The sequence below is a fragment of the Homo sapiens genome, chromosome 1 (genome assembly GCF_000001405.40).
Source record: "Homo sapiens chromosome 1, GRCh38.p14 Primary Assembly".
Lineage (NCBI taxonomy): Eukaryota > Metazoa > Chordata > Mammalia > Primates > Hominidae > Homo > Homo sapiens.
In genome coordinates this window covers 82,215,125-82,227,479 of record NC_000001.11, presented here as the reverse complement: position 1 = coordinate 82,227,479, position 12,355 = coordinate 82,215,125, and positions in this window count along the sequence as shown.

The following is a 12,355-nucleotide window of genomic DNA, read 5'->3' as shown; positions in this document are numbered from 1 at the left end:
ATTGGAGTTGAGATGTCAAATGTTTCCCTAATGAGCTCAAGGTCCAAAGTAAACCATGAACTGAAATCACAATAGTGACACATTTCAATGTTTCTGTTTCTCAAGATGGGTGAGAGCTGTTATGTCCCCAAAAGCATGGGCATGATTGCTTTGTGGCAGGGGATGTGGGGGAAGAAAGAAAGAAAAAATAAGGATAAAGAAGAAAGGAGTCTTTCTCTGTAATACATTAAGAGGATTATCATTTTTAAATTGTTATTTCTTTCACTTAGGTTTAGAAATTCAGCCCTAGAATTACTGATTCTAAACATTCCTAATTCTATTCAAATCAAAATAAATGTAGAAAGATGGAGAAAAAAGGATTCTTTGGAAAACAAAACAATACTATAAGCCGTCATCAGAAATGACTAGCATATTGGTGGAAGCTTTGCTATTTTTGACCAAGGGGTATCTGGCACCTCGAGTCACAGATAAACACAGGTGTTGCTTATAAACACAGCCAAACTCCATCCCCCAGTGAATGTTCCAGGTTGCCGCCTGCTCTGTCATGCTGGGGTGAAGGTGAACCAAAGAGTGCCACAACTCCCAGGGTGAATGACTCCGACTGCAGAAAACTTCTCTTCTAAATAAGTAGTTAGACCTGAACAAAGATATTGGTGGTGCTTGCTACCCTAAAATTTTTAAAACTACTACGGTGATTAAGGTCTGTCATTATCAGAAAGGAGCCAGAGTCTCACAGCTTCGGTTAAAGGTCTATTTTGAGAGTTCACTGGAGGGGGACGTCAACTTTCTACTGCTTGATCTTATCTTCAAATCATGACACCACGATAGCAAGAATGTGGGCATTTTATTTTTTTATATATATTTTTTATTATACTCTAAGTTCTAGGGTACATATGCACAACATGCAGGTTTGTTACATATGTATACATGTGCCGTGTGGGCATTTTAAATTGGCATATTACATTAGAAAATAACTTTACACATTCACTCTTTATTGAAATAATCATTATCAGCAAACTGTTATATGGTGAACACCGCTATTTGAATTATGTTTTACTAAACAAAAGCCTTCCAGTCCTTTGAAACAACATGTTGGCCTGGGAGCAGTTTCTGCCTCACTATTTGGAGTGTGGACATGTTTGTGCTTGTCTCTTCTATTGCTTTGGGGATTTTCCCAATGTAAATCCTCTTGGGACTCAACTCTCCAGCTCTGTACAGATGTACTGCAACTGACTCTTTGTTTAAGATCCTGTATCCAGGTTTTTTTTTTTTTTAAACAGGAGTAGAAAGATTAGACACACTTCTAGGGGACCTATTGTGCATTGTGAGCACTGCATGCTTAATTGCAAAAAGGAAAAACAAAAAAACCAACAACCCAACTGCTTAATTTATGGATATCAGCAACAGGGCCAGTAATTTCGACATGGAAAGGGGAACTCTCATTATTCATAAAGTTGGCAAGAGTTTCTTCTGAATTTCAGACTGAACAAGAATCTCTTTGTTTTTCTCCAATTACTTTTTCAAACAAGCAAATTGAGTGCTCGTGGAAGGTGCTTGTTTTCCTAAATGAAGTCCTCTATTTCACCAATGAACAGGTGCAGCAGAGGCAGTGTCATTTAAGGTGTTAAAAACTTCCCCAAATTCCACTAGTATGCCTTAAGCTTAATCCAGATGCTCTATTTCTAGAGATCAATAAAGTTGAGCCTCTGTGGCCCTATCACTCTTGGTCTATTTTAGAACATTACCAGTAAAACCACCAATTTCAGTGGTGATTTTTCAGAATCAGCTGGGCCTGGAAATACACACATTACTTCTCCAACGTATTGCCTCATATAATTTTGACTCATTTCCTTCTTTACTTGGCCCAGAGCCATTAATATAGTAGAGACTGCTCAATGCCCTCCAACTAAAACAGAAAGTGTGCATTGTGGATGGTGTGGCAAAGCCAGTGCCAACAGCTCTCATCTTGGCCTTGCCTTAATTTTCTCCCAGTTCTCTTTCTGACCTCTCCTTTGACAGAATACACCCTTTGCCCACATAACAATAAATATTTTGTGGGATGGCCCAGGGATAGCAAAGAACCAAAATGAGCTCTATCTTGTGCCACACAGTCTTTCTAGAACACTATGAGAATTCAGTGGCAGTTTTTCACAAAGCTGTCTTCAGAGTCCCAAGACTTGGGGACCTTTTTCAGATAAGACTGCAGTGGAATAAGAAGTAAATTGCTATCTCAGAAATTAAATTCTCTTGGGTGGGATCCAAAAGGATTTGCTTTAATTATGAAAGTATTTTCAGAGGCAAATAGTCTTAAAGTGAAGTTTCAATGGACTGCAAACAGATTATCTTTAGCATGAAACATCTTAAGAAGATGAAGTCATGAGAAGTACCTGTTCAGCAAAAAGTAAAAGGAGTCCAAAGAAAATATATACACATGAGACTGGGCATGGTGGCTCTTGCCTGTAATCCCAGCACTTTTGGAGGCTGAGGCAGGTAGATCGCTTGAGGTCAGGAGTTCCAGACCAGCCTGGCCAAAATGGTGAAACCTGCCTCTACTAAAAATACAAAAATTAGCTGGTCTTTGTGGCACGTACCTGTAATCCCAACTACGGGAGAGGCTGAGGCAGGAGAATTGCTTGGACCCTGGAGGTGGAGGTTGTTGCAGTGAGCCGAGAGTTCGCCACTGCCCTCCAACCTGAGTGACAGAGTGAGTGGGACGCCATCTCAAAAAAAGAAAAAAAGAAAACATATGCACATGAAAAAATCATTTAAAAAATAAAAGTGTCAGTGCACAGTGATCCACTAAACAGAAGCATTCCATCCTAAATTATTCCATCAGAGCTTCTAAAATTTCCAAATGTAATAGATTTTTGGTTACCAGTAATTAAGTCTGGGTTCATGCCCACAAACTGAGAATAACATGCTCCCATATCCCATTACTACTTCCTTTAACAAAGCTTCCCCTGAATATTTTTCACTTTGTAACCCTTTTGGTTACTGAAATTACATTCACCAGAGTAGATTCATAGAAGGCATTTCATTCTTATTTCTGTCCTATCATTTGGGATGTGTCTGTTTTAACAGGATGTCCTGATTGTTACTGCCTCTTGTTTAGCAAAAAGCCAGTTTTGAATAGTCGTGTTTAGATTTGTGATGAGAGGATAACATACTTCTGTAAAATAAAGATGTATATAAACTGACAATCTGACTGTATATCCAGAAACCCTCTTGAGGAGTTTCCATTCACTCAGTTAGATAAGCCAGAACCTAAAGTGAAGACATAAGACAATGGTACTGACTTCAATGGAGATATAGTATAGATTTGATTTTCCTGGACTGCTCATAGAGTAGATTCTAAGTTTGGATACTCCTATGTACATAATCAACAAAATAATAACTACCCCTGGGCTAGGATTGTGCATCCTATTCTATCTTTATCACCGGACTGACAGAACTAGAAGCTTCAGCTTTAGAAGCTAAACCAACATACAACTTCTCCACTGATTTATTGTTTTCTCATGCACAAGATAATGATAACTGAATTAGATTCCTCACAGGGCTTGTGTGAAGATTAAATGCTACCATGCAAGGGAAAGCATTTTAATAAAAAGCATCATCCAACCACCCAAGACCATGGGCTGGGTGCTATAACTTACACCTGTAATTTCAGCTCTTTGAAGGGCTGAGGCAGGAGAATCGCTTGAGGCCAGGAGTGCAAGACCAGCCTGGGCAGCATAATGAGACCCCGTCTCCATAAAAAAATGAAGGAAAAAAAAATAGCCTGGCATTGTGGCACATGCCTATAGTCCCACCTACTTGAGAGGTTAAGGTAGGAGGACTGTTTGAGCTCAGGAGTTTGAGGTTACAGTGAGCTATGACAATGCCACCACACTCCATCAGCCTGGGTGACACAGCAAGACCCTGTCTCCAAAAACAAATAAATAAAATAAATAAATAAATTGTGGGGAAAAGAAACAGAGATCAGACTGTTACTGTGTCTCTGTAAGGAGTGTTCCACTCCTCAGATGCAACTTAATCTAGCACTCTATACTTTAAATTTTTTAAACATTCGTAGAAATCAGACTACTAGTTCAACAGAACAAAATGGAGTCTCTTATGTCTACTTCTTTCTACATAGACACAGTAACAATCTGACCTCTCTTTCTTTTCCCCAAATAAATAAATAAATAAATAAATAAATAAATCCCAAATACATGAGGCCATTATTTATGCCAAGAAAACATCTGATTGTTGGATCATCAATCCAATGTCTATGAGATTTAAACTGGAAACATATACTAGCATATTAGAAATGCAACCTTTTTATTTGATCTTAAGGAGAAGTTAGTGGGAAGGCTTCTGGTTTTGACTTTTATTCATGTAATAAATCTTTATTGATCTCCCATGGTTTTCTATTCATTTGGTTAGTTGCTTGTTACAAAGTGATCATTAAGATATATACAAACTTTCCAGATAGAGTTTAGAGTCTAATAAGAGGAGCTGGATATTAAGCAGATAATCCCACTAATAATTATATAATTGAAATCATTACAAAGTATTATGAAGGAAGAATATGTTTGGAGAATATAAAACAAGGCCTAAACTACATTTCAAATTTTAGTGAAGTTCTCTATAAATGACACTAAGCAGACACCTAAAGGACAGGTAGGAGTTACCCAGATAAGCACAAAGAGAGGGATTGCAGGCAGAGAAAGTAGCATGGATGAGACTCTGACACATAGAAAATGAGGAGCAGAATGGAGCTGGGTAATATTAGAAATGCAGGGAGAAGTAAGATCACACAGAAACCTAGACATCAAGGATTTGGAATTGATGGGCAGGAGGAAATCCAGAATTGTAGCTATAAACTCAGGATTTCTTTTTATCTGAGTACAAAATTATGAATGCATGATTGCAGCCCTTTAATACTAGCCTCCTTGGCCCTGGATCAGTGATTTTCACACCTAGCTCTCTGGAGTCCTAGACTCCTGCAAAGCTGCTTCAGTTGGTGCAAAGAGGAGGGCAGGGAGGGCCCCAGCCCAGAGATATCGCATTGCCTACCTTCCAGACCACCCTGCCCCCTGCTAGGATGCCAGAGAAAGTACAATCTCACTTGACATACTGGGTTTCTACATGAGAATCATTGGACTCCAACACCAAAGGAGGGAGAGAGATTGAAAGGGAGGGAAGAGGGGAGACTCAGAGAGAGAAGGGAGGAGTTGAAAGGAGGGGGAGAGAGAGAGAAAAGTTACTATCTTCCATGAGCAATAAGGTTATTGATATATGGCTTTCATTCACATTTTCCTCTTTTTTGCCTACAGGAGTTTGTGTTTTGTTTTCTGAGAGCGTATCGTTGTTTTCTCTGCTGAATGATGCCCATGGATCACCATATTATATCAGATCATTTGTCTTAAAATGGGGCCTAACTCGTTAGTCCACAGGGCCTCGGGAAATCTTTGATGCCTCAAGAGGCACGCTGATGAATATCGTTTTATGGAAGGGAGAGCCTTTCTTTTCCACTGGGTGATGCTAATTTGCCTTGACTGTGTGGTACTCCCTCAGGCTTTCCTTTCTGAGGTTTTAAAACCTTTTTATTGCAGCTTCCAGGGCTTTGTTCAGGATGGTTGATGGTGTTCTGAGACCTGGGGAGAGTTAGGGATAGCAACCATTACACGTATCATATGCTAGAAAAATCTGGGTGTGGAATCTCCAGACAGGAAAAACAGTACAGGTTGCTACCAGCTGGCAGAGTGGAAGTTAGAAGTACACGGCTGGCCCTCCCCGACCCACCCCATGCTCTGCACCTCAGGCTGGCTGAATGAAGGCTAACCTTGATGCACAATGGATGCGGTCTTGGCAAACCTATAAATGGTAACAAAGGGAGGTAGAGTGTAAGGCTTCAATCCCAGAGTCTCCAGAAGAAGCCAGTCTTGCTGATCCATTTATTATTTTCAATTTTTCTTCTCCCTGTTACATTTAGCTTATCTCTACCCAGGCCAGCAAGCTGGTCATCCTATGCCAACAAAGTGAGACTCCATCTCCAAAAGCATCTACGAAGCTGCCAAATGTTACTTTACATTCTCTGTGTAAAAATTTTCCAAAAATGACCATGCCTAGTCTTAATTTGTTATGAAGTCAAAGGCATCATTGCAAAGAGGGCAAGAACAACCTAATTCAGAGAAACTTCTGCATGAGAATTGTCAATCCCTCCATGATCCTCTGGCTTACAACAGTCTAAGTCCAGTTGTAAAGTCCAATGCATATAATACAGCTTCAAGATCTCAGCAAGCAAAATGACTTAGTTCACTTATGCAGCAGAGAGAGTAGCGCTCACCAAATATTGCCCAGGTGCACCCGCATTTTCTAGCCTCCCTTTGAAGGAAGGTTAGGGCCATTGACTCTCGGCCAATGGGCTGTGAGCTTAAGAGACGCTCTGGTCTGACATGGTTAGGAGTGTGTTTGAGTTCCCTGCAATCTCTCTTCTGCTGCCTTGGCAATCCAAAAGCCACTAGCATGCTGAGCGGCTGCACGATACAGACTGCCTTATGTCACCCTCCTGCAGTGACTACTTGAAAGGGCCACATTCTTATGGTACCCAGTGGGATTCCACCTGAGCTGCCTAGCCTGTATCAACTAGTACAAAATACAAAACAAATTTAAGGCAAATCCTCATGTAAATCTCTTGCCCCTTCAAGCTCTCCATCCACTCACTACCATATTTCTCCAAGCTGTGGTTTTCCTGTGTCATGTGATTAACTTCCATCCTTTTCACCCTACTGAGCCTTGCATTTTCCAGGATCACCAACAAGTGACCTGGGAATACCAAACTATTTCCTCTCAGTCTATTTCTTCTTCTTCCTCCCTGGAACACATGGCATTTGGCATCAAAAGCCACCTTGAATTCTCTTTTCTCTGTGTTTTTGTGACACTGTTAAATCAATTAACCATTAAGCATTTGTTGAATGACTGCTTATACTAAACCTGTCTTATTATGTCCCTTGGACTCTGTTTCTTCTACAACTTTCCAATGAGGTGTCTTAAGTTATATCCGTAGATTCCTTAAGCTTTAGTTTCCTAATCTGTGAAATGGGAAGAATAAATATCCTCCCTTTTGGTTGTTAAGAGGATTAAACGGGAGAACATGTATAAAAGAACATATGACTGAGCAAGAAATATGGAATTTTTTCCTTTACTGCTGTTGTTGTGAGGTGACAACTAATCAGGCAACTTCCAGATCACTATCCAAAGTGCACAACTTTTCAGAAATTTCCAATTTTACATTTTTAATTTCTAAGGGACCTTTCAAGTGGGATGTTTACATTTACCTCACATCCAATAACTGAGCTGACAATTTCTCACTCCACTCTACTAGAGCCTTCCACCCCAACAAAGTCTCTATTTCTACCCATGGTACCATGACTAACCCAATTATCAAGGCTTGAAACTTGAGATTCAGTTTAATTCATGGAAGTCTCCTGCTGATATCAGCCCAATAAAATAGTTATGGAACAAGAACACTACAGGCCGGGTGCAGTGGCCCATGCCTGTAATCCCAGCACGTTGGGAGGCCGAGGCAGGCAGATTACTTGAGGCTAGGAATTTGTGACCAGCCTGGCCAACAGGGTGAAACCCCATCTCTACTAAAAAAAAAAAAATACAAAAATTAGATGGACGTGGTGTCATATGCTTGTAATCCCAGCTACTGGGGAGACTGAGGCAGGAGAATCACTTGAACCTGGTAGGCGGAGGTTGTAGTGAGCCAAGATTGCACCACAGCAATCCAACCTGGGCAACACAGTGAGACTCCATCTCAAAAAAATACAAATAAAAAAGAACACTATGATTGGCAATATTTTCTGTCAACTCAGAATTGAGTGAGATACAACCTGGACACAGATAGGAGTCATGGTGGAGAGGAGGACCATGAGGTGATGCCAACTGCCTCAATAAGGAGATGCGGTGACTGGAACACAGCAGATGATAATCAGAGGCTCATCCAGATGCTGTAATCCTCAGGGTATTTTGTATAAAGGTGGCACATCCTGAAAGAGGCAGTGCAGGCTCTGGGATAGTGCACTCTGTGGAGGAGTTCCAGACCTTCGCCTTTTTGTAATGGTCATAGCTCTGGAACCTGGCCACCCACTGCACTCAAGTCATGTAGGATTAAAAATTGGATGGGTCCTTTCAAGGGAGATAGTTGCTGAGGTAACTGAGCCATCTCATTTTAAGAGCTTCTCATATAGAAGGAGAATTTCAGCGTGGATTTCAAAGTCGTATTAGAGACAGTCCCAGTAAATTTGTGAGATACTAAAATTATTTACCTTAAATAAATCTCTGGAGTCTTTCTCATTGCTTCTAACTTACACAGGTCACTAACCAAGGCTAACAGAGACCACCCACAAAGAAAGCTAAACATTTTATTGGCTCCAACTTAGTCCTGTGGATAGCATCCAAAGATTTCCAGCCCCCCAGATTTCATAGGATTGTGAATTTATGTAAACCACCAACATTCTGAGGTTAGTGGTGCAAGGAATAAACAGAGAGAGCTAAGCAGATCCTTCAAGCTGTGTAGCAATTTGGAAAAAGTATTTCTCTCTCAGATTAATAAAATAGAAATTGTGCTTCTAGAACTATGTTACTTCCTGTTACTGCCAAATCTCTTTTGCATTTGTATGATCAAAGCCTCATAATCCTATTGAATGCACACAAAATTGGATAATAAACTTCTCTGAGTGTTATTGTTAGTATCTGCTTACCAATACCAACACAGAGGGAAGGCTGCATGCATATAAGATATTACCATATTATAAGCTTCTAAGTCTTTTCAATATTTTCTTTTCACTGTTTAAAATATGTATCCAAATTAAGAATTAAAAAGTCATTTCTATCAGGTAAAGTAGGCATATCTATAACATAAAATAGTAATGTGATTAGCTATTGAATGTATGGCAAAACTAGAATTGCTACAATCTGTATTTTCTGCATCAAGAACTGAAGACAAGTTTGGCCACAAAACCAATAGTTGTTCTGTAATGGCATTTTTTTTTCTTTTCCTTCACACAATTACTTTTGGGCTGTGAAGCAAAGTGTGATCATATACAAATGCCATAAAAGGAGAAGATAATATGGATGAGGATATAGCAGAGGGAAGGACTGAGGCTGATGACAATTAACAGAAATTGAAAATACAATATCAATTCTCATTTCCCTTCTCATCCCCAAATTGCCGTAAGACAGGCCACAAACAAAATTCCATAAGATAGCAAAAGTTATGAACATAAACTCTTTCACTGAATCCAAATGCAACATATTAGAAGAATCTCAAGGACAAATGTTTTTTGGTATAATACCAAGTATATTTTTTTATAAAACCTTGAAACAAGATGACTCACAGAAAGTCTATGAAGTAGGATGTAAGTAAGGAGAGAGAAATCCTCTCCAAATTCAGTTTTATCTGAATTTCAAAATTGTTTCCCTAGAAGAGGGGGTAAACTTGTCTCTTAAATAGGGAATATAGTATTTTACAAATGAAACAACAAGTTTTTTGTTTTATTTTGTTTTGTTTTACTCTTGAGTTATAACAGAATTTGAGGAGTTTCTTAAATTTCACATTGAACATGCCTCCTCAGTGTATGTCAGGCTGGCTTTGGATAGTGCAGATGGAGAGGGGCAAGGGTGAGGTGGGATGTGGGGAATGGCATTTTGTAGTGTATCCCCTGTTCAACATTCCTGAATTATTTATGTTCCAGTTGCTTGCCACATGTTTATCATATAGATTATGTTTATACCTTTTAGACAATGAAGAAAAACAGATATAATTTCTTTTTGATCTCACTCTGGAGATGAAAGAAGATTTGTAATCATTAAAGACAGGTAACTGTGTCCTAAAATAGCTTAGGTAATGTTAAACCAAGGAAGCCAGCATGTCTGATGCTGGCATTTACATTATTCTGTACACTTTTTTTTCAAGTCTTTATTCATTTAATCCTTTCCAAAAATCACTGCCATTTAGCTTTTTTGTAGACAGAGTATTCATTACCCAGGTTAATTTTTTTCTTTTAATGCCAGAATATAGGTAGGAAAGCTTCAGTTTGTTTTGTTTGTTTCGGTTTTGTTTTTGTTTTTGTTTTTGTTTTGCTTTGTTTTGTTTTGAGACAGAGTCTCACTCTGTTGCCCAGGCTGGAGTGCAGTGGCACGATCTTGGCCCACTGCAACCTCCACCTCCCGGGTTCAAGAGATTCTCCTGCCTCAGTCTCCAGAGTGGCTGGGATTACAGGCACACACCACCACGCCCAGCTAATTTTTGTATTTTTAGGAGAGACAAGGTTTCACCATGTTGGTCAGGCTGGTCTCAAACTCCTGACCTCATGATCCGCCCACCTCGGCCTCCCAAAGTACTGGGATTACAGGCATGAGCCACTGCACCCTGCCTGGAAAACTTCAGTTTTAAGAAATTTAGCACAGAGAGATACTCAATTTACAAAAGAAAAAGATTGAAACTCTTTAAAATTTTTTGAAAAGAAGTAGAAGATTTTCACCATAGATAAAGTAAAAAGGAGAAAACAATGAAAGAGAAAGTGGAAAGGAATAGAGAGGCCTGGAATGATATAATATCCTACAGTATTAAATGTTTAATCTCTTACCAGGCCAGGCAATTCCTCTCTGTCGGACAGTGTCATCCTAATGCAACCTCCCAATATCCTGATGACTTAGTGTGACCCACAGAGCTTCTCTTGGTTATGTACATAGTTTTTTTAGAAGTCTGGGTCGTTGGTGAGAAATCACTACACAGTGTTTTTCTTGGTGTCAAGCAAAGGCTAGGTAATTAATTTCTTGGTATTTGTTTTCTTCCCCCTAGCTTTATGAGCTATCCTTTCTCCCTTCCTTCAAAATTATAGCTTCTAACACACCTGCTAAAGAAATCCATCAATAAAGTACGTTTTATCAGGAGAGACAATAATGTCTATCAGTTTTATATCCGTTAAGATCAGCAGAAAGCCTCAATTAAATATAAAATTATTTTGATATTTGTCCTAACAGTTTCCAAAATTTCCCTTGTTTTTCATGTAGGAAATTTAGAGGGGGAAAAAAGAGGATACTAAAGAGTAACAGAAGATAAGCTCCAACAATATTTAGGAGACTACAGTTATGAAAACTCTCCATTAGTATTCAGAAACCCCACTGGTTTTAAGTGAGGTTCTTTGTGCAATTGGGACTGTGGTACTAACACACAAGGGCCTAGGAGAAAGTGATTAAATAATACTGTGTATGCTCTAATGCACATGCAAACATTTGGCTAAGGATATGTATGCTTTTCTGACATCAGAGTGTGATATTCCGTAGACCTACCATACGGCTCCATTATGTAGAAGGATCCACTAGAGAACTCCTGTTATGTAGCAAAGCTGAAATATCTGCCTCTTTTATGCAGGCAATATTCCATTTTAAAATGTTTTCCAATCTGGCTCAGAATAACCCCCTCTGTGAACCAAATGTGTTCCTTACCAAATATTCTCCATGGTTTTTCTCCAAGGACTGAGACAGCCTCCAGGTGTTAGTAATGACCTAATCATACAAAAGCCAGCATATGTATCTACTCTTACTCCAAGAAAATGTGGATATGCTTCTTTCTTAGTCTACTTTGCCTCAACAGCGTTCATACATCTGCTGGTTATATATTTGTAAATCCCTCCTTTTATCTCCCCAACAGATGCGTGCTGTGATGAGAAATTCCGAAGCACACATTAGAAGCAATGACGGTTATCAGCCTAGCAGAGGCCGATGGGCTTCCTCGGATCCTGCCATGGCACCAAAGGAATGCGAGAAAATGATTGGCTGGGGAGCTCTTCCACATTGTCAGGAACGCTGGAAAAAGGCTGAAAGAGAATGATGAGAAAAAACCTGGAGAATGGCAAATGCTTCACTGAAGCAATCTGCTACATTCCTCCTTGCAGAGTGGGATGCCTGGCCTGAGATGAGAGAAGTAATAGGACTGAGAGGAAGTGAAAGAAATAGAACCCAAGGAGAGCAGGACAGAAAGAAAAGATTTATAGCATGGATTGTAGCCACTCTAATATTTGGGCTCCTCCTGAACTTAATCCAACTTCCACGTTACTGAAAATTTATTATTTCCCTTATGGATTTGTAGAAAACAGATAGCAAATGAATAAGGAAAATGGAAAGAGACCCAAAAAAGAGACAAAAAATGGAGAGGACTGTGAGTCCAATTCCTGTTTCTCCTGCTTTTGTCAGACCAAGTAAAACACTTAAAATCGTCAGTGGATATTGGCTGAACCTTGCCATTTTGAAAGTGGCTATTCAAACCTTTTAGAGACGGAGCTGGTCATTGCCTCAGTTA